The sequence below is a fragment of the Homo sapiens genome, chromosome 12 (genome assembly GCF_000001405.40).
Source record: "Homo sapiens chromosome 12, GRCh38.p14 Primary Assembly".
Lineage (NCBI taxonomy): Eukaryota > Metazoa > Chordata > Mammalia > Primates > Hominidae > Homo > Homo sapiens.
The window spans coordinates 26,605,529-26,629,496 of record NC_000012.12 but is presented as its reverse complement, the minus strand read 5'-3'; the positions used below and the strand labels follow the sequence as shown (position 1 = coordinate 26,629,496).

At 37.8% G+C, this 23,968-nt stretch overlaps 1 protein-coding gene across 8 annotated transcripts in view; it reads left to right on the top strand.

Annotated features, from left to right (window-relative positions):
- ITPR2 (inositol 1,4,5-trisphosphate receptor type 2) overlaps positions 1 to 23,968 on the top strand; it is a 497,843-nt gene that overhangs the window by 203,698 nt on the left and 270,177 nt on the right. For all 8 annotated transcript variants that reach the window (XR_001748686.3, XR_001748687.2, NM_001414174.1 and 5 more), the window contains 4 exons: positions 1,335 to 1,464; positions 5,141 to 5,198; positions 7,092 to 7,257; positions 8,201 to 8,374. Coding sequence is in view for 6 of the 8 variants with exons in the window: in NM_001414174.1 (NP_001401103.1) it covers positions 1,335 to 1,464; positions 5,141 to 5,198; positions 7,092 to 7,257; positions 8,201 to 8,374 (528 nt within the window). In the remaining 2 variants the exon portion in view is untranslated. The remainder of the gene's footprint in view (positions 1 to 1,334; positions 1,465 to 5,140; positions 5,199 to 7,091; positions 7,258 to 8,200; positions 8,375 to 23,968) is intronic.

Here is a 23,968-nt window from a genome sequence, read left to right as displayed (position 1 = left end):
TCCCACCTCAGCATCCATGGTAGCTGGGATTACAGGCACGCACCACCATGCCTGGCTAATTTGTTGTGTTTTTGTAGAGATGGGACTTCGCCATGTTGCCCAGGCTGGTCTTGAATTCGTGAGGTCAAGCGATCCCTTTGTCTCAGCCTCCCAAAGTGCTGGGATTACAGCCATGAGCCACTGCCCCTGAGAGAGGATATCTTAAAATGTAATTATTATGAAGTGGAGGAGAATATTCAAAGTAAAGTGGACACTGTGAGCACCTGTGCGGAGGCAAGAGCGGAAGTGCAGGCACTCCAGTGCTGTTAGAACCGGAGAGAGGATGAGAGAAGGGGCGTAGGAGGAGGGAGGGATGGGACACAGGTGGTATAGATAGAGATGAAGTTAGATGATACCATGAAATGCCAATCTTCCTAAAACTTGGGTGACCACATTGTTTACTGTCCAAATACGACACTTTTGAGAATGTAGGGGCACCATTAATAATTATGCTGAAACAAAAGGTTAAACAGGGCCTCTCTCAGGCAGACAGGGACAGATGGTACCTATGTAAAAACCTCTCCTTTGATCTGCAGCACATCCCAGCTTTTTCTTCTTTGATTTCTGTTGTATTTAGACCACATGATTTAGCTCTCAATAGTTTCCTAATTATGCTAACAGTGCTATATTTTTTTCCCAACTCGACTATTGGCTTTTTGAGGGCAGTAGGCTTCACGTGTTTGCATTCCCTGTGGCACCTAGCACAGTCTGGAGCCTTGCTAGGTACTTAGTTTCTGTCCGTGCATCCATGAATGAGAACAATGACAGCAACCCAAACTCAAGGAAACACAAACACCAGTGAGGAAAATCCATGGTGTATAGATGCTGTTACTTAAACTGTCCTTTTAGAACCTGGCTTTAGGACTGATCATGGTATAGTCACAGTCATACTATTGTAGCTGAATTATTGCCCTACTGTGTAAGAATGAGGGTCACACCTCCAACAGTCTCCTCCCAGAGACAATGGCACTCTGTAAAATGTTCAGTAAAATGACGTCATCATTACCTCTTCATCCAGACCCCCACGATGCCTCTAGCTGGAATATTCAGAGAGCAGTCATAGGGAGTCAAATGTTCTTTCCAAAAATTGCTTTGGGATTTTACTGACATTAGCTAGTAGAAATGAATTCCCTTGCTTAGTCATTGCTGACAAACATGTGGCAACTGGTGTTAAAAGCTTCTAACTAGTTCCTTTGAAAGGTTGGTACTTCCACTGTTATTGGTGTGTTGTGAATTGCATTTTTAAATACTATGCTAATGAAAGAAATTTATGTTGTTCTTAATGTTTCTTATAGTTTATCCTGAGTGTCAGACTGGATTATAGGATCTCATATATGCTGTCAATATATAAGAAGGAGTTTGGAGAGGACAATGACAATGCGGAGACATCTGCCAGTGGATCTCCAGACACTTTACTACCATCAGGTATCTTTTTGTGACAGTATTTACTCTTTTTATTTTATTTTTCTGAGAACTTGAAAGTACCTATCATATTTTAAAACATAATTATATTTTTTGTGCTTTTTAAATTTTTTTATTATACTTTAAGTTCTGGGATACATGTGCAGAACGTGCAGATTTGTTACATAGGTATACACGTGCCATGTTGGTTTGCTGCACCCATCAACCCGTCATCTACATTTGGTATTTCTCCTAATGCTGTCACTCCCCTAGCCCGCCACCCACCGACAGGCCCTGGTGTGTGATGTTCCCCTCCCTGTGTCCATGTGTTCTTATTGTTGAACTCCCACTTATGAATGAGAACATGCAGTGTTTGGTTTTCTGTTCCTGTGTTAGTTTGCTGAGAATGATGGTTTCCTCATATTTTTACGAGACAAAAATGTAGATGTAATCTCCACTAACGACATCAAAGAACTGAGACAGATTGTGAAATAACTCTCCTAGAATGGTGTGGAGGGTGTTTGCTGTCGTTTGTTGCTAACTCCTATGAATGCCTTTTCCTTTGTAATCTTCAGGACTGGGACATACTGTTTACTGTGCCATTTTACAGAGGAGAAAACCAAGGTCAGAAAGGTTAAGTTACTTGCCAAAGGTCCTGAAAGTAGTGGCACAAGGATTCTCTCTGAGGTCTCTCCAGCTCGAGAGTCCAAATCTTTTCAGCATCATGATGTTTTGGTGAAAATCCAAGAGAAGTTTTTCTGCCTGGATCAAAGAGCAGTGCGAAATGTAGTTATCAGAAGGATAGGTGTTTTGAAGAGAAGCCGTTGCCTGATCCAGAATAAAGACGTGGCATTCCCCAAAGACTTGAATGTGGTTGTTGGTCTCATTTTGTGTGTGTGGATTTTTTTTAAAAAAATTTACTTTGTATAGTTATAAACTGGAACTATATTTCAATTTTCATATTTAAAAAGTGTAAAAATGAAGCTAATTTATCTCTGAGCACTGGAGCATAACAAAAGAGCACAGTTATGATTGTAAAAATTTTGTGACTATTGAAAGAACTTTAGAAAAACTAAGAAATATTAAATTACCATTTTTTTTTTTGGACAGGTCAGGCCAAGTCATTATAGGCTGAAAAGTATGTCTTATTGAAGATTTAGCCGGCTAATGGAATTCTTTTCGTGAGAATAGGATTTGTACACAGATGTGAAACTTCCTTCTAACTGCCACCACTGTGACATTAGGAACTCTCCCCTCTTCTTCGTCCATCAATCAGTTAGGAATGATTCAGTGATTACAAGCATGTAGTTAAAATGGATACTAGACCAACTGTCCTGCTGTCTGAATCATTAGTCCCATCAAAAGGCAGCATGCCGCTGCAGAAGGACTTGAGCTTGTCTAAGCAAGACTTCTCTTCTGGCACCTTTGCAATGGTGTTGTTTTTCTGCTTCTCAGAAGTGTAGAACCCCAAAGGGCTATTTCCAGGAATGATATGGCAGAACCAGGAAGTCTTGCTGGCGGTTGCATTGACAGTAGCATAAAAATTATTGACTCCCAGAGGCCTGGCTTCTGGAAACATGAGTTTTAAGTGTCAGTAAAGTACCAGAGGGAAAGTCTAGGGGCACCCCAGAAAACCCTTTCTCTCTACCTGATCTCTTTCCTTTTTTTGTACCAGTAAGGGATACCTTTCTGGGGAGAATTATTTTTCCACTTTTATATCTTACTGTGTTTCTTTTTACGCTTTGGAGATGAGAAATAAGTGGTGTATTTTATCATTTAAACATGTTACCTTGGCCAGGTATGGTGGCTCACGCCTGTAATCCCAACACTTTGGGAGGCCGAAGGGGGCGGATTGGTTGAGCCCAGGAGTTTGAGACCAGACTGGGCAACATGGCGAAACCCTGTCTCTACAAAAAAATACAAAAAAATTAGCCAGTAGTGGAGGCGCGTGCCTTTGGTCCCAGCTACTCAGGAGGCTGAGGCAGGAGGATTGCTTGAGCCTGGAAGGTCGACGCTGCAGTGAGTTGAAGTTGTGCCACTGCACTCCAGCCTGGGCAACAGAACAAGACCCTGTTTCAATAACAAACAAACACACAAAAAGCCCCATGTTATCTTAGTAAAGTTATCTTCAAAATGTTAGTGGTGTGGGACAGTAAGGAATCATGATTGGTTCACGTAGAAAAAAAAATGCCCTTTCCCACAAGAAAAAGGGACGGAATTTTAGTAATAGTAAGCTTAGGTAAAAAGACCATGGTGTTTGGAAATAACCATATAATAACAAGGCTAATTGTATGTATATTTTGATTCTTTAAAGAATTATCCTCCCATTTATCACTCATTTAAATTATATGTAAGTATGTGCATATGTATGTATATATGATCTATATATACACACACACTTCTCTAGATAAGAGGCACCTTTGTAACTGGTGCTTTCTGATCTTTTAGACATATTTTTGATTACAGCAATACATTAGTTTAAAACATAGTTTACATTAAAAAATTACATTGATGTCTTAGTGGAACTATATTGTGATTTTTTTCAAACTGTTAATTGACTTAAATTTTTTTAATTTTTAATTTTTGTGGGTACATAGTTGATGTATATATTTGTGGGGTATATGGAGTATTTTGATGCAGGTATACAATGTGTAATAATCATATCAGGATAAATGAGGTATGCATCACCTCAAGCATTTATCTTTTGTGTTACAAATAATCCAATTATAGTCATTTAGTTATTAAAAAATGTACAACAAATTATTATTGACTATAGTCACTCTGTATACTAGATCTTACTCATTCTGTCATACTATATTTTTGTAACCATTAATCATCCCCACTCCGCCCACCCCACTACCTTTCCCAGCCTCTGGTAACTCTTATTCTACTGTCTATCGCCATGAGTTCAATTGTTTTAATTTTTAGCTTCCACAAATGAGTGAGAACATGAGAAGTTTGTCTTTCTGTGCCTGGCTAATTTCATTTAACATAATGACCTCCAGTTCCATCCATGTTGTTGCAGATGACAGGATCTCATTCTTTTTTTTAATGGCTGAATAGTACTCCATTGTGTCTGTGTACCACACTTCTTTATCCATTTGTCTGTTGATGGACACTTAGGTTGATTCCAAATCTTAGCTATTGTAAATAGTGCCTCCATAAAAATGGAAATGCAGATATCTCTTTGACATACAAATTTCCTTTCTTTTTCATATACACCCAGAAGTAGAATTACTGGATCATATGGTAGCTCAATTTTTAGTTTTTTTTTTTTTTTGAGAAACCTCGAAACTGTTCTCCATAGCAGTTGTACTAATTTACATTCCCACCAACAGTGTATGAGGGTTCCCTTGTCTCCAAATTCTCACCAGCATTTATTATTGCCTGTTTGTTGGATAAAAGTCATTTTAACTGGGGTGAGATGATATCTCATTGTAGTTTTGATTTGCATTTCTCTGATGATCAGTGATGTTGAGCACCTTTTCATAAACCTGTTTGCCATTTGTATGTTTTCTTTTAAGAAATGTCTATTCAGATCTTTTGCCCATTTTAAAATCAGATTATTAGTGTTAATTGACTTTTGGTCGAATAAAGAAATGAAGACAAAAATATTTTCACATCAATTGATATTAATATGACTATTATGGCTCCTAATTAAAATAGGATAAAGAAGAGATTTTACCATTTATCTTTGCAGCTATTGTTCCTGATATAGATGAAATTGCAGCTCAGGCAGAAACTATGTTTGCGGGAAGGTATAGTAACATTTATATATCTTTATCTTACTTGTGAATAACATTTTACTTAGAATTCTATTGATACTTTGATATTGTTCACTCTATATCTATTTATTTTTAGACCCTCTATTGTTGCTAACATAATTTCTGCCAGAAATGAAGCTGCTAATTTACTCTGGAGGAGAAAGCATAGCTTTTCTTTAGGTCAGGTAAAAAAAAGGACAAGAGAGATGAGATCAGTGTATTGAACTTTCCTCTGAATTCTTTGCTTTTCTTTCCTCAAATAATGACAGCCCAAGAATGCCCTTTAACTCCCCTGGTATAAATATCACTGAGTCTTGTAAAACATTGCTTCCCTGAATCTTAGATATTTGAGGCAAGAAAGTAACTTCTTTAATGTTATCATTAACTTTATATGTAAGAAATAAAGCCATTTTCTGCCAATTGGAAATACCCATGATTAAATAAAACAAGACACCTTTGACATGACTAGCCTCCTTTGCCATCAGGAATCCTGCCGTTTATTGTTTTAATATTGTTTGTTCTTCAGAAATGAAGTTAATAGTGATCAAAAAGAAAAATTAAAATGTTTAAGCTACAAATTATTAAGCTTCTGGTGCTCATTTATATTACAGACTTGACATGAGACCCTAAAAACAGTCTGTACAGTAGTCTTTCCTTATCTGCTACGGTTACATTCCAAGACCCCCAGTGGATGCCTGAAACCACAGCTAGTACCAAACCCTGTATACACTGTGTTTTTTCCTATATATACATGCGTATGATAAAATTTAATATATAAATTAGGCATACTAAGAGATTAACAACATAACTAATAATAAAACAATTATAACAATATGCCAGCATCACCACTCTTGCACTTTGGGGCCATTATTAAGTAAAGTAAGGGTTACCTGAACAAGCTCTGTGACCCTGCAGCAGTCACCTGATGACTGATACGGCTACTAAGTGACTAATGATGGGGGAACACGTACAGCGTGGAGATGCTGGCAAAGGGATGATTCATGTCCCAAATGGGACAGGCAGGATGACACAAAATTTAGAACTCGTGAATTATTTATTTCTGAAGTTTTCCATTTCATATTTTAGGACCATGGTTGACCATGGGCAACTGAAACCACAAAAAGTAAAACCACAGATAGAGTTGGGTAGGGTAGTGGGGACGACTACACTAAGCATCTTATTGCAGTTTTTGTTGTTGTCATTGGAAAGACAAACAAGAATCAAGAATTAGGGGCACAAAAAGAGGATTTTTATCTCTAGTGAACATTTAGTTTAGTTTTTATATTATAGTACTAGTTTGTGGTGTTGTATTTTCCTATTGAAGAATTTCATTATTCCCTAGGAGAAATGAACCAGTATATGATTTCATCTTGAAACAGATGGACCTTTTGTTCCAGTGGAACCTCACCCAGAGTCCTCATACGCCACACCTGTGGCCACTCTGGTGCTGGTTCACGCACATGTGCGCTGGCCTCCCCCACTCCTCCCCATCTGTCATGTAGGGGTCTGTAGGGCCCCAGGGGAAATCAGTCATCGGTGTACATCCAGCCTAGCACAGCTCCTCCCATAAATGCTTTTGGATTGATGCAGATGCCCATCTTTTGTCTATGCCAAGGTGACCAACTCATCCCAGTTTCCCTAGGAACCCCTGAGTCTTGGATAAACCGGGATGTTTGATCACCCCTGCTTTCATGGACAGACACAAGCTTTTCTTTATGATTGTTTCCTCATCAGTTACATGAGGAAAACAAAGAAAATGTTTTCCTGTTCACTTCCTAATTTGGTAAAACAAATGATATACCTCTGAGAATACGTATACAATTCTAATACTGAAGTGTAGATGTTATATAAATAGGAGTCACTTTAGAAATGTTTTTGGTTTTATAGAAAAGAAAAAAATCCAGTTCAACTTGACGATGAAGGAGGCAGGACGTTTTTACGGGTCCTCATTCATCTGATCATGCACGACTACCCGCCTTTGCTGTCTGGAGCCCTGCAGCTGTTGTTTAAGCACTTCAGCCAGAGGGCAGAGGTTTTACAGGCATTTAAGCAGGTAAGATTGAAGAGCCCTCAATGCATCCACAGCAAAAGCTCTGAAAGTGTTAATAACATCCAACCTGACTTCATGGCTGCAGAGGTAATGACACTGTGTGGCTTTTCCTGGAGACACTTTCTATTTTTAAACAGAGACATGGCCTTGTCTATGCCAGGACGTGATCTATTTAGAAGGTATTCCCCACAAGTGATTTTTTAGTTAATGTCTTTAAAACAAATGAAAGGCACCAAGATTTGGGAAGGCACTGGGAGATAATAACATGTTAGGAATTTTGTTACCACTGCTATTATTTTATCCTTAAATTTTACTGATGAATTTGGGTAGGAGCACCAATAGCCCTGAAATAATTATTTTATGATTGAAAACTGCATAAATCCAAAAAAACGAACTGTTATGGATCTAATCTTTTTCTTTGTGGTCTTTGAATAAGACATCAATCTTGAGATTATTAATTAGTAATACGTAAGTGCTTACATATGTTTCACTATTTATTTAACATAATAGGGTATTGATCATTTAGGCAGTTTTACAGGAATATGTTAAAAGAATATGAAATAAAAGGGTAGTTATACATCAAATACGTATATGTATATGTCATATAATACATGTAAATTATAAGAAAATAAAAACTTGTATGATGAGGTTTAGATTGTATCTATTGATATTTTCTCCCAGTTGTTTTTGTTTCTGCCTCTTTTCAAACAGAGTCTCAGAAAAATTAACTTCAGCAGTGAAATTAAAGTTAGGGTATCTTTTAATCTTAAATCACTTTGAAAAGTTTTGCTAGGGCTCACTTAAAAAAATTATAATGTGTGAAAATACTGGTTAAGTGTTCACACTTACTTCTAGGTAGGTTTTCATGGTCAATATACATCTAAAATATTCATAAATATTCTAGAAATAGTGAACTTCAACTAAGATTGAAATTCTTCTGTTTTAGGTGCAATTACTGGTGTCTAATCAAGACGTAGATAACTACAAGCAAATCAAGGCAGATCTAGACCAGCTTCGACTGACAGTAGAAAAGTCTGAGCTATGGGTGGAGAAGAGCAGCAACTATGAGAATGGAGAAATAGGGGAAAGTCAAGTGAAAGGTGGTGAAGAGCCAATTGAGGTTCGTTTCAAGATCTATTTCGAAATACTCCCAATGATGTCTTTTAAGTCAGATATATAACCACATGCTCTACAATCAAAATTGTTCATAAAGAAAAATTCTGTTCTGAGCAACAGAGCACAAAATTTTCATTTGCTAAGTTGTCAATTAACTCCGTAAACTGGCACTTTGTTTAGCTCTTATCAATTTCTACCACTTCTTACCTCATCTATCTAGTGTTTCACTCTTTGTCATTTCCACGGTAAATTCTATAATTCAGCAATCAAGAAAATAGGAAGGAGTGGAAGGAGAAAAAAGGAGTGGACCCTAAACTGAGACCTGTAGGGAGAGGTGAATTTTTGTGGACCCTTTTGCTGTGGCCATTTTTTTGCCAAGCAGTAATTCATTCCTATCATTATGCATATCCTTATATAATATATAAAAGTATCTAAATGGAAGACCAATATGCTTTATTGCCAGTATGAAAATACCAAAAATCTAAAGAGTGACTGTCATCTTCTGTTGTATTGGCTTTTTTAGTGTGTTAATTAGTTGCTGTTTTCACATTTCACTAAGTACCTATAACCACTTAAAAAATGTTAAATACTGCTTTAGTAGTCATGCTTAGATAAAGCACACTAGTACCAACATCATAATTGTTAATACAAAAAGTTTTGTAAATGCCTGTCTGGTGTTTTATATAGTTGTTTTTTAATCTGCAGGCATATAAGCCGTTTTGATGGGTTTACCTGCCTTAGCTTTTGTTATTTGTTGGAGTACCCAAAATATTGTGAAGTGAAACGTGAAAACAGAGCAAGAGATAATTAATCAAAATGCTTCTGAAATGCTTTGGAAGTTTGGGACAAAATACTGGAACGTGGGCTTCATTGCACACTGACGTCTACTGGGATTTCCTTTGCGGCCCTCGCAGCCACAAGTAGATGCCCTTTATTTCCCTTTTGGCTTTTAAGTTCCACATGAGTTTATCTCATTGGCAGAAGTTGAATTGAATTTAGAACTTCAGCTATAGGGGAATTTGAGAAACCAGCTCTGTGATACAGAGGGACCGTGAGGGGTGGGAATGCTTGCTGAATGCCAGGTAATAAAGTGCATCATAGGAAGGACAATGTGTAGGTTATTAGCATGGGTTTTGGAATCAGACACCCCAGAATTTGCCACTTGGTATATGTGTGACTTCGAGCAACTTATTTTCATTCTCTAAGTTTTATTTTTATTGACTATCAAATGGACATCATCCTGGTACTTAGCTCCTGGAATTGCTGTAAAGATTAAATGAGGAAACCCTATGCACGTGGTAAGTGTGTCAGTTAATATGGCTTCAGTGGGAAAATATGAACAACATGAAAATATATACAATAAAATGACATATTACTTACCAACAAGTCAAGAAGTAAGACTCCAGCTTTAATTCCTTGCCTCAGTGTTGTCATCATGGATCAGCTGGCTTAGTTTTGAAACCAGTCTTTCTCCTGACGGCATCATGGCAGTAGCATTCTAGATATCACATCTGTGCACGACAACATCAAGAAGGAGTATCTATTTCTGGGTCTCCTGTTTAGGGGCAAGGAAACCTTTCCTAGACATCCCTCACCTTATTTCATGTCTCTTTGGCCAGAACAGGGCCAGATGTTAAAACTCTACACCAGTGGAGTACAGGATTAGTTTAGATTAAGTAAAAGATGTCGCCCAAGCTAGGATACACCACCCTGAATTACCTGGGAGAACGATAGATGGCCGAACAAAACTGGATTCTTCTAGCAGGGAAGAATAAGAAAGAATGTTGGTTAGCAACCAACAGTGTTTTTCAACATTAGCATTCAGTCAGTGTTTGTTGTAATTATTGTTTTTATGTGTAACACACTGTGTTGTTTACTATGGTGGATATGGAATTATGAAATTTTAGAGTTACAAGATAATTGTAGGGATAATCACCTCCAGTTCCCTATGTGATATATGTGTTCTCTATCTCTAAATATCTCACCTGAGTGACATTATTTCTTTAAACAAAGCAAACTTCTGTAGCTGGAAATTCAGTACCACCTGAGGTAGCATATTCTGTTGATATTAAGGTACAGCTTAAGAAATAGAGTATTGCCAGTAAGAAGTTGATGTGCTCCCTCCCTATATAACAGAGGAAACCACTATCATGAATTTATTTTAACATTTTCCTTGCTTAGTAGTTTTACCATGTGTCTGTATTTCTAAAACATAAGAAATATATGAGGTATATTTATTTAGCCTATTTTGTACATGTTTTCATTGTTCATCCTTGTTGATGTATAACTGCAACTCATTCATTTTCTCTAACATATATTATTACATTTATGCACATGTTTATCCAGTTAGCTGTGGATGGACATTTGGGCTCTTCCCGGTTTTGGTGTTTTAAAAGAAAATTTGCTACTACAAGCAGTGCTGCTGTGAAAGCTGTTGTATGTCACCTGGTGCACATGTTTGGGAGATTTTTTGGGATATCTACATAGGAGTAACACATGCAGTATGTTCCCCTCTACCAGACAATGCCAGTTGTTTTCCCTCCACTAGTGTATGAGTGTTCTTCTAGCTCCCTATCCTTATGATGGGTGTTTTTCTCACTTTCCCACTTTTGATGATTGAGTACACTTGATATATTATCTCCGCTGTGATTTTCATTTTGCTGAATTAGTTATGAGGTTGAGTTTTTTAATGTTTATTTGCCATTTTACTTCCTATTCCAGTTTAGATAAAGCTAAATTCTACACAGGCAAATAGTTAAGTCCTACCGATTCATGTGTACTTACTAATAAGGTTAAAAATATTCATTCACTTCAAGTCAGGTAATGCTATAAGTTCAAACTTGAACATGATATTTTATTTCTTTTTTTTCTTGCTTTACTGTGTTTGTAGTATTTTCAAGTACAAGGTAAAATAGAAGTGGTAATAATGGGCATCCCTGTCTTATTTCTGATTTTAAAGGGAATGGTTCTAATATTTCACTATTGAACATAATGTTTACTGTACATTCTTTTATAGATACCCTTTATGGAGGAGCACATTCTCTTCCTAGTTTACTTTTTAAAAACTACAAATGGTTATTGACTTTAATTAAATGTAATTTACACATCTATTAAGATTATATTATTTTTTATTTAATCTGTTCACCTAAATGACATAAATCTTAAATAGAGCTTCTACCGTAGTAACTTTGCATTCTAGATTTAAAATATCTTGGTGATTTGTTTTTACATTGCTAGATTCTGTTTACTAATACTTTCTGTAGAATTTTACATCTCTGTTGCCAGTGAAATTAGCCTGTAATTTTTCCTTCCTTCCTTCCTTCCCTCCTTCCTTTCCTCTTTCCTTCCCTCCTTCCTTCCCTCCCTCCCTCCTTCTGTCCTTCCTTCCCTCCCTCCCTCCCTTCCTCCTTCCCTCCTTCCTTCTCTCCTTCCTTCCCTCCTTCCTTCCCTCCTTCCTTCCCTCCCTCCGTCCCTCCTTTCTTTTCTTTTTTCTTTCCTTTTCTTCTTTTCTTTCCTCTTTTCTTTTCTTTCTTTCTTTCACTGTTCCTATCAAGCAGTAGTATTGAGGTTACACTAGTCCCATAAAATGAGCTATAGAATATTCCTTTTTCTTTGTGTAACATTAGAAGGATCTGTTCATAAATGTTTGGTAAAACCTGTCTGCAAAACTGTCTGGACATGATATTTACATTGGGGAAAGACTTTGACTACTGATTCAATTTTTTAATGGTTATAAATTCATTCAAATTTTCCATTTTGAGTTAATTTGTTGTGCATTTTTCTAGCCATATATTGAAATCTTCGAATTTATTGGCATAAATTTGTTCATATTCTTTTGCTATCTTTTAAATTTCTGCTGTATTCATAGCTTTGTATCCCTTTTTCATTCTTTGTATGTTTTGCTATGGCTCTCTTCTTTTCTCTAGCTCTATCCAGCTCAATCTTTCCAGAGTTTTATGTACAGTTTACCCTTGAACAGTGTTTGGGGGATGGTCAGGGGTGCTACCCTCCCGCACAGTTGAAAATTTGTTTATAACTTCTGACTCCCTCAAAACTTAAGTACTAATAGCCTACTGTTGACTGGAAGCCTTACTGATAACACAGACAGTCAATTAACATATATTTTCTGTGTTGTGTGAATTATGTAGTGTATTTTTACAATAAAATAAGCTAGAGAAAAGAAAATGTTAAGAAAATCGTAAGGAAAAGAAAATATATTTACTCTCTATTAAATGGAATTGGATCATCATAAAGGTCTTCATCCTCATCATCTTCATGTTGAGTAGATTCAGGAGGAGGAGGAAGAGGGAGGGTTGGTCTTGCTGTCTGAAGGGGGGCAGAGGTAAAAGAAAATCTGTGTATAAGTGGACCTGCACAGTTCAAATTCATGTTGTTCAAGGTCACCTGAATTTTACTCATCTCTTAAATATAGTCTGTTTTGGGTTTGTTGAGATTCTGGATTTGTTTGCTATTTTATTATACTTATCCTACTATACTCTATCGTTTTATGTTGACAGACTTTTCGATTTAAAAAAAATTGGTGGTATAATTTTCTTCAAAGGAGCTGCATTCCCTGAGTTTTGACAAATGATATTTTTATTATTTTTCAATATTAGATACTAAAAATTTTTCCATTGTGAGTTCTTTCTCTTAGAATTACTTGGAAGTGAGTTTTTAAATTTCCACATGCGGCCGGGCACGGTGGCTCATGCCTGTAATCCCTGCACTTTGGGAGGCTGAGGTGGGTGGATCACAAGGTCAGGAGATCGAGACCATCCTGGCTAACACAGTGAAACCCCATCTCTACTAAAAATACAAAAAATTAGCTGGGTGTGGTGGTGGGTGCCTGTAGTCCCAGCTACTCGGGAGGCTGAGGCAGGAGAATGGCGTGAACCCGGGAGGCGGAGCTTGCAGTGAGCCGAGATTGCACCACTGCACTCCAGCTTGGGCAACAGAGTGAGACTCTGTCTCAAATAAAATAAAATAAAATAAAATAAAAATAAATAAATAAATTTCCACATGCATAGGCAAAATTTACCTTTTTTGTTAATTGAATTCTTAATTAACTTGTGACCAGATAATTTAGTTATTATGATATCATTTCTCCAAAATTCATTGAGGTTTGCTTTTTGACCTATTGTACATCCAGGTTTTGTAATTGTCCATTGTGGCTTGAGAAGAATGTGAATGGGTGTAGGATTCTTAATAGATGACTGGCAAATCAAGCTTATTAATTCTGTTTAAATACTATATTTAATAATATTTTTATTTTCTTGACATATCAATAAGTGAGAGAGATTTGTTGACATTTTCCACTACAATGGTATGTTTATCAATTTCCCCTTGCATTTCTATTAGTTTTTACTCCATGTGTTTTGAGACTATGTCATTAGATGCCTGTAAATTTGAAATTATTATATTTTTACTGCAGAACAAAAGAATTTATTAACTGTGAATTATTTCCCCTCACTTCTGATTATTTTATCCCATGTCTTCTGGCTTCCATTGCTGCTGTTGAGAAGTTTGCTCTGTTAAATAGTGGTACTTTAACTTTGAAACTCCAATTAAGTTCATGTTAAACTTTATTAGTGAATATATTACTATATAGTACATATCTGTTCATTTCCTTTTTACATTTTCTCTACCTATGACTTTGTATGGCATATGGATAATTTTTTTAGACTCATCTGAGTCTCTCTTCAAGTCTGTCTTCTTTGCAGTTTTCTCTACCAATTTACTTTTAAACTTCAGCCACTATATTTTTTTATACCTGAAATTTCATTTTTTTCAAACCTGAAATTTGAGTTTTTTCAAATATATTTGGTCATTTTTTATCATGCTTTGTTGTTTTCTAATTTTTGTGATTCCCTATGGCTGTTTTATGGTCTGTATGTGGTAACTCGGAGATCCGATGTACTTGAGATTTTCTTGTTATTCTCACTCATGTTGTGTTTCATTATATTTTTGATCATCTTTGATTATGCGCTCATATCTTTTTTCAAATTGACTTCATTTTTAGAGCAGTTTTAGGTTTAGAGAAAAATTACACAGAAAGCATAGAGTTCCCATATAGTCCCTCTTCTCCTCTCTCTTTCTCCGATTGTTAACATCTAGAATAAGTGTGGTACATTCATTATAATTGATAAGCCAATATTGACACAGTATTTTTAAACTAAAATCCATAATTTATTAAGGTTCATTCTTTATGTTGTTTAACTATGGGTTTTGACAAATGCATAATGTCATGTATCCACCATTGCAGTGTCAAACAGAATAGCTTCATTGCCCTAAAAATTCTCTGTGCTTCACCTATTTGTCTCTCCTTCTGGACCCCTGAGTCCCTGCCAACCACTGATTTTTTTTCTCTGTAGGTTTGCCTTCTCCAGAATTTCATATAATTGGAATTATATAACATGTAGCTTTTCCAGACTGGTTTCTTTTACTTAGCAGTATATGTTTAAGTTCTTCCATGTCCTTTTGCAGTTTAATGCCTCATTTTTTGTTATTGCTGAATAATAGTCCCTTGTATTGTTTATCCATTCACCTATTGAAGGACATCTTGGTTGCTTCTAAATTTTGGCAATTATGAATAAAGCTGCTATAAACATTTGGGTGCAGGTTTTGAGCTCGTATCTTTTGACCTTAGTTCTGGGGTTGACATAGGGTATGTTTTCCTGCTTAGAGTATTTGTGATTGCCTTTGCCTGTTGGCAGGGGGCGCTGCTAGCCTGAGACCACATTACTCCCATCCTATATACCTATTTTAAGGCAGGAGTTTTGGGTTTAGCTCCCCAAACTAGACACTTGCTCAGAGTTCCCTTAGTCTTTGGGTTGCAGATCTAGTATTGTCATTTGCCTTCAGGGAAACTTATCTTGTGCCCTTGTTGCTTGGAGCTCTCTGGTCAGGTTTCAGGTTACATTTTTCCCTTAGAAGATGGAGGGTGGGGTCTCTGGGAGTTGTCCTTTCTTTTCTATGGGCCCAGAAATGTACTTAAAATAGGTTTATATCTAAGATCTAGTTGTTTTGTAATAGGAGGGTTCTTTGCAGTTTTAAGTTGGCCATTCTTGCCAAAGTCTTTGGGTTGTATTTACTTCAGGTGTTCCGTGATTTTTTATTGTCATGAACCCACATGCTTTGGAACTTTGTATGTGGAATTTCTCTGAGGTCTGTAGTTAAGGCCTTATTGAGATTTTATTTGCCTCTGTGAAGCACTGTGGGACACTACATTCTGTAACCATATTGAACATACCTTTTGGCTTGGGTCTTTTGGGACCCCTTTAGATTGGACATTCTGGTCCCCAGTCTTGAGTGAAAGTGAGCTTGTCTTGTATATGGGAGCCTCAAGAGAATTTTTTCCCCTCTTTTGCTTTTGATGAGCACCAAGGCCAAGATAGGTGCCCTTTTGCTCTTCTGTGGGCCATGTCTTTCCCTGGTTTATCATTGTGGGTATCACCCTTAGGTATTCCTGACTCTATGCCAGGGTCTCTGATCAGACCTTCCATCTTGCATGGGATCTGGATTTTGTTTCCTTTTTGCCGTGTGTGTGTGTGTGTGTGTGTGTGTCTGTGTATGATATAGCAAAACTCAGAATCCAGCTTATTAGGTATGGACTGATGCCGTCAGAGCCAACAATGAGTCTAGTGCTTGATTATTGCTCTGAAAATTTTATGTATTTTCAGGGTTTCTGGCCTTGCTACTATAAAGAGATGTTTTAAATATTTTATCAATCATTTTTAGATTTTATACAGGAGGGATTTCTCTGCACTTTGTCATTTTCTGTTTGACCATTCTTAACAAGAGACAGCTCTTTGTTTTGAGCCTGTGTATTTGTCTCAATAATACCTGTTCAAACCTATGCTGGGTTTGGGGCAACATGAATGGTCACACTTAATGAACTGTCATGTTTCTCCAGAGTAAAATCTTTCTTTCAAATGCTGTGTAAAGTGTACATTTCAGTCCCGTTGTTTTCATGCTAACTTGCCTTTGTGCACACTTGAATTTCTCCTTTCCGTTCTTAAAGTTAGATATCTGGACTCAAATCTCATATTCTACTTGCCCTCAACGAACGAACACACTTCATGAACACCCAAAAAATAGGGTGACAAAGTAGTTGATTAAATACTGAACTATGTAGTACAGAAAAAGGAGAGGCCAGCGTGGGCCTGATGACTGAAAGAAGGCCTCACTCCAGATTCTGCGCATAGGCCTATTCTGAAGGACTGGGAGGAGTTAGCATGTATTCAAGAATAATAAGAGAAGTAAAGTTCAAGAATAAGCGATTTGTATTTGCAATGACTGGAAACTGGGAGCCTGTGAAGATTCTTGGGTAGAGAGGTGAGCATACTATTTTGGAAAATTTAGTCTGACAGAATCCGGAATGCTTCAGAAGAGCAAGAGGCTGGGTTGGGACACCCGTTAAGAGGCTGTTGTACGAATTCAGGTGTGAGCTTCTGAAAGCATGGACTAGTGAGGTAGCAGTAGAAATGTATGCAAATGGGTGGATTGGGAAGCTGGGAGAATGGTACCTATATAATGAATTAATATAAGGGGAACAAAAATGAGAAACTGTGAAGTTACTAATTTATATACAGCCAAATAATCTGTATTATGCAATAACCCAGCAGCCAAAGATAGTGGCAATGTATTGTAAACAGGATGAAATATATCACAGTATCAATGGAAACAGCCAGTAGCAGGCAGCACACACACTAGCAGGCCAATACGAACAATACTCCTTTGTTGTTTAGTAAATCTTACAAAGGCTGTAAACACAGCACCATCAGCATTGTTCTAAAACAGCTCATAATGGTCTAACTTTGTGCCTGCTTAGATATCAGAAGACCAGATAACTTTAATGTGATTCTTCATTTTGAGAATAAAAAATATCTCCAATAACATAAAAGCGTGAGGGGAAAAAAAGTTTTTTCCCTCAGTGGTAAATTTGGTATACTCTGTTGACAATAAATGTGAATTGATGGTCTGTCTGCTAACACTAACAAATCTCAGTTTATAATCCAAAATTATACCATTACCATACTTGATCTCTTATAAATAAGGAGAAGGGGATGGATTTGGTTGTCTATTAAGCCCATTGCGTCCCTCGAGCCTAGCAGCTTTATTATCTATTGTATATTATAGTGTTTCCCTTTATTAAACCTATCGTCCCCAGCATTAAAAGACTGTACCATCATTTCTGAAAGCTTAAAGGCTAAAATATAACAAGTTGACAATATCAGTAGCATTAGGAGCAATTACTAATTCATCACTTTCAAATATGCATTGCCTTCTAAATATAGGAAGGAGAGATTAACTCAGGAAACCGTATCCGAGTAGGTTAAGTCAGGATTACCCTTTACGTTCATCCACCGCTTTATTTAGGGTTGAGATGCAGGTCACGTGGGCATTGCAGTGCTTCAGAGGAAAGTTCCTCATGTTGTTTATTTTGATTGTTAATTTTTCTTACAGTGATTTTGTTTCTCTATTTGTGTGTATACCTATATTTATCTCTATATCTATCTACTCACCTATATATGGTTGCCAGCTTCTTTTTCTTTACTTTTTTTTAGAGATGGGTCTCGCTCTGTCACCCAGCTGGAGTACGGTGGCCCTTTTTAAAAATTTGACTTAGACTCTCACTGATGTAAAGTCTCATGCTTAAACTCTCTATCTAGTTTTTACTTCAAGGACTATATAGTTCATTTTCAGGTTATTTAATTGGTTCTTTTTCATATCCATCTATTCTAGATTCATATCTGCCTGTTTTTACTTCATAATTATTTTTGTTCTTTTAATGGATGTGTGATGTAAGGAACAGAATTAACTAAAAAATGTCCCTAGGGGCTCACTCTGGGTTGTCTGGACAACGAGGTGGCTGGGACTGTTTTTGCAGATGAGGAGTCCCTTTCTTCCAAGGGGCTGTGTACTGATTTTGGCTTCTCATAGGACCCGTGGCTTCTTCCCCTCAGCAGAGACAGTCCAATTTCTATGGGCCATGGGCTAGTGTTCGAAAGATTCCTGTAAACAACAGGCACTGCCTGGTGCCGGAACAGTTTGTGTGTCCCTTTATTGAGACGGTTACGCTCCAGCTTGCCCCATAGGTAGTTACTGTGGTGTTGCGGGGAGTGGTTGCTTGGAAATCTAGACCCATACTATCCAGCGGGGCACCCAGCACTCCTGTGCGGGGAGATGGGAGGAGGGGGCACCTGTGCCTTCTCTTCTCTTGCTGTTGCTTGGCTTGTAGCCTGTCCTTTCCCTGAAAAGGCTATCCTTCATTATCCATGCTGAGCGATGCTGTGACATAATCCTGAACACTATTGCATGGCACATGGCAACCACAGAGGTACCCACTGGGCATGAGGGATGCTATTCCTCACTATCTCTATGATTATTTTAAACATACCTACTTACAAAGCCTGTCAGAAAAGCTCTTGATTGATTATATTTCACTGGACATGATATATTATTATTATTGAGTTTTTTGGTTGACATTTTTAGTATTAATGTTCCTCATAGGAGTTTGAATTATAGTTTGCAGATTTATCTTTATTTATTAATTATATTACTTTATTAATTATGAATTAATTCCTTCCTTCCCTCCCTTCCTTCTCTTTCCTTTTCTTTGCTGATTTTTCTCTAGTTCTCCCTAGGTACACCTTCCCTATCTGATAGTTTTTCTATTACCTCCACATCTCATTACTTTTTGAAAGCAAAAACTGTATTCCATTCTTTGCCTGCCGCTTCTGATCTTTTTTCCTTTGATGAAGCAAGCAAAGTTGCAAATCCCTGTAGAAGGATATATATTAAGAAGGTTCTCCTTTTCCAAGTGTTGGTATGAGATTCTGTGCAGTGGGAAAATAGTTCTACATAAACTTGTTTCTTCAGCCAAACTTGTGATCGATTAGCTGACTTTTGACAGAATCTGGTAGAATGTCTAACCCTGATGGCCTGGGACAGAAGCAGTCCATGTGTTCTAGACAGAATCTTGCAGCTTGACCTGACCAATCAGAGACACAGTGGTAATTTCATGCAGAGCTTTTATTCATTAGTTTTGGACAGTGCTTTTCTGAATTTTCCTTTTATGGAATCTGTTTTCTTGTCTCCAGTTTCTATTTTTGCCTCAGACCTCATTGTATATTTATTTGTTTATATCATTATACATATTCCCATACTTATGTCTGAGCTCATTCCACTGAAGGTGATTGTGACAGATGAGTTTCAATAAATAAGCCCCTTCACATGACATACATGTGAAAAATAACTTTTGGTTTATAATAAAATGCTTGTTTTACACATTCTTATCCTATTTGGTTATAATATAAATTCTTAAATGTAACAATTATACTTCCAGAATGTGTTATTTGAATTACTTGGTTATTTTATCTTTTTCTATGAGAATTTGTTCCCTTCTCATTTTCTAACCACATTTAAATTGATACTGTTTGAGTATAAACTTAGTATTTCCCTTCATGCTATAAATAAGTTACTATCTTTTTTTTTTAACTTTTCCATTTGTTCTTTTTGTTGTAGACAGGGTCTTGCTCTGTCATTCAGGCTGGAGTGCAGTGGTGCAATCACAGCTCACTGCAGACTCCACTTCCTAGGCTCCAGCGATCCTCCCTTAGCTTCCTGAGTAGCTGGGACCATATGTGTGCACCACCACGCCTGGCTGATTTTTGTATTTTTTGTAGGCATGGGGTTTCACCATATGGCCCAGGCTGGTCTTGAACTCTTGAGCTCAAGCAACCCACCTACTTTAGCCTCCCAAAGTGCTGGGATTACAGGTGTGAGCCCCTGCGCCTGTCCTCCACTTGTTCTTAATTCAATACAAGTTGTTAGTGAAGATTCTATGTACCCATATGGTTTCTTTTATTCAGCAAGTGGCTAACGAGGAAATAATAGTGATTGATTCATTCAAATCAGAGAATACATTTGTTTTAGATCAGGCAACAACATTTCTGTAATGATTTCTTGGGGAACAAGTGAGTGTAAAAGGCAGTGCTGATTCGTCCCTCTCACACATTTTATACATACACCCCCCTTCTTACAACCATGTCCGTCTGGGTGAGCTATAACCCTATTGTGACTAGGGGAGCTTCCTTCATACAATGTATCAGTATCAAAGTCAGTCTCTAAGGGTTCTATTATGTTGCTGTTTTCACTTCCTGTACAGTGCTTTTCTGTTGACCAAATGCCATTCTGTTGACCAAAAGGTTCCCCATGCTTTCTACATTTTACATAATACTGTTGAGTTTTTAGCCATCCCTGGAGTTACATCAGAAAATTTCTGGGACATATTGCTGTATGATAATAGGTTCCTGATGTGTTTTTTTTTTTTTTTTTTAATTTAAAAGTAAACTTTAGTGTCAAAAATGCAAACTTGGGGAGCGCAGAAAGATCACACACAAGGCTGCCACTTCACACACTTGGAGGGGTTGCACAGCAGCCGGGCAGAGGGGCCCCTCACTTCACAGACTGTGGGGCGGGCCAGGCAGAGGCCCTCCTCTCTTCCCAGACAGTGGGGCGGCCAAGCAGAGGAGCTCCTCAATTAATAGACTGTGGGGCAGCCAGGCAGAGGCGCTCCTCTCTTCCCAGCGAGTGGGGCGGCCAAGCAGAGGGGTTCCTCACTTCACAGACTGTGGGGCGGCCAGGCAGAGGCGCACCTCACTTCACAGACAGTGGGGCTGCCGGGCAGAGGTGCTCCTCACTTCCCAGACGGTGGGGGGCCCGGGGAGAGGCGCTCCTCACTAGGTTCCTGATGTGTTCTTATGAAAGCAGTTACTAGTTACATTAAACATTTCCAGTTTTTCCTAATACCTGTCTAAGCAAAGATGCTGCACCCCAGTGGCACGAACTTTTTTTATTAACTTATGTATTATCAGAGATGCAGATTGTAAAGGAGATTTGGGTTTTGTACTAGAACATCAGGTTAAACATTATCAAATACTAACTAAAACGACATCAAATGAGTCAAAAAATGCCATTATTTTATTTATTTATTTATTTTTTTGAAACAGAGTCTCACTCTGTCGCCCAGGCTGGAGTGCAGTGGCACGATCTCGGCTCACTGCAAGCTCCACCTCCCGGATTCACGCCATTCTCCTGCCTCAGCCTCCCGAGTAGCCGGGACTACAGGTGCCCGCCACCACTCCTGGCTAATTTTTTTTGTATTTTTTTAGTAGAAACGCCCGGCTAATTTTTTTTGTATTTTTTTAGTAGAGACAGGGTTTCACTGTGTTAGCCAGGATGGTCTCGATCTCCTGACCTTGTGATCCGCCTGCCTCGGCCTCCCAAAGTGCTGGGATTACGGGTGTGAGCCACTGCGCCCGGCCGCCATTATTTTATTTGTCTTGGGACGGAGCAAAAGGAAAAAAGGTTTGGGGTACGGTTATGGATATGTATGTATTCTCTAGAAGGGTAGAGCTTTGCTCCTGACTTGAGGAAACATCTGGAAGGAACTTATCTGCAAGTAATGCTGGTCAGAGCCTCTTCTGCCCATTGTGGATTTTGAATCAAGCCTTCAAGCAGCCTTAGGTGCTTCCCAGGGAAGCAGAAACCGACAACCATGATACCAAGATCGTGCAAAGTAGCTTTCCAGGCAAGGTCATAGAAGTTGATCTAGGGTGATATCTTCCTAAATGACTAGTACATGATGTTATCATTAGATGGGAGGGAGAAAAAAATACCTCCTTATCCCACAGAGGGTTATTCAGTTATCTGAAAGAGGCAATATTTATTCTGAACAGCTTCAACTACATTATAATCTATAATCTGATTGGCGAATCAAATATAAAAGACCGGTTATTAAAATTTTTTTTTGCATGTTTTGAAGGGAGGTGAGGATAGAAGAAGGAAAGCATTTGGCACCTGAAGTTAGGGGGTGGGTGGCTGGTTTATGGTGTCACTGACTGGTTTAAAGAATGGTTGCACCAGAGAAGGCTACCAGTACAGATGGTGAGCAGAAGGCCTTGCAGTCTTGCTAACTTGGCAACTTTGCTGAGGATGGACCTCCTTAAACTTCAGTGGGATAGGGATAAATAGAAGGCATGCACCAAGTTATTTTAATCATGCAGCTGCAGATGTAGGCAGCTCTACATTGTAGGATTTGGAAAATTCTATTTTTAAAAGCATGATTGCCCTTGGTTAAATTAAGGAGCTGGATTCCCATTAATCAGTGCCAGTATTTATTTATTTATTGAGATGGGTCTCACTCTGTTGCCCAGGCTGGAGTGATTAGCACAATCATAGCTCACTACAGCCTCAAACTCTTGGCTCAAATGATCCTCCTGCCTCAGCTTCCTGAGTAGCCAGGGCTATAGGTGAGCCCACCATGCCCAACTAATAATTTTTTTTTTATTTTTTATAGAGACAGAGTCTTTCTATGTGGCCTACGCTAACCTCAAACTCTTGGCCTCAAGCAGTCCTCCCACCTTGGCCTCCCAAAGTATAGGGGTTATAGGCATGAGTTATCATACCTAGCCAGTGCTAAAATTTAGTTTACCCTATAGTTCATATAATATTACTTTCTTATATAATTTTTGCTATTGATGTAAAAGTTTCCTTGCCTGATGCAAAAAAAAAAAAAAGGGAGGAACTATCTTTAGAACCAATATTCACTCTTTGTTTCTCTGCCTAGAACCCTGATGCCACCCAATTTCTAGACTATTCTTGGTCTCTTGTTTTTGAACCTACTGTTTTATGTTATGGTATATACTATGCAATTAAAAATACAGCTACCGCTAAGATCACTGCACTAAGCTGTTTCCCATATTCTATTAGGGGGAATAAATTTAGGTTCTCTAGATGATAAGAAGCAGTTACAATAAAATGCAAGGACGTTTGGAGCATCGTATTTATTTTTCATCACTATTGTCAAAAGGATCATTTGGAGATGTGCTACGAGCCTTTTACTGTTCTAAGTGTCACACTTTTTTTTTTTTCTAGGCCCATTCAGCTCTGGGATGCTGCATAAGTCATACTTCTACATTTTGCACTTTTCTAATATTTTGTCATTAGAATAGATTCAGGGTTTTGTAGATTAGGCCAGTGATGTAGGGCTAAAGTTTATAGAATGTAAAGCATTGTATAAGACATGAAGAATACAGCCAATTTCAGCTCTTTCAGAAGGAAAACTTTTGGAGCACCTTTATTTAGACCATTTTGGCATCAGAATTAGAAAACAAAACCTAATTGTAGTTATATAGTTTACATATTTCTCAAATTACCCTGATGACTGCTTTGGAATCATCCAGATGTTCCATGGGTTTTTGTTCAATTTAATTAAATTGAATTATTTTCTGAAATTAAAAGGGGTTGTTTGTTGAATTTTCCAATGTCGCTGCCTTTTGTTGACTGCTAGCAATTTTAAATTAAAATCATTATTTTTCACCAATTCCCACACATACAGAGTTTAGCATTGTCTATGTGCTTCACCTGGGCTGAACTAAAGAGTATGACTTTTTGTAATGTAGTACATTTTACCTAAGATTACTTTTCTTAAAACAAGACAGTTGCTTTTTCTTCAGATTATTGCTTGAAAAACAGGCTTAAAGATATCGACCAAAGCTTCACCTGCCTTTTTAACAGCTTTCTTTAAAGTTGA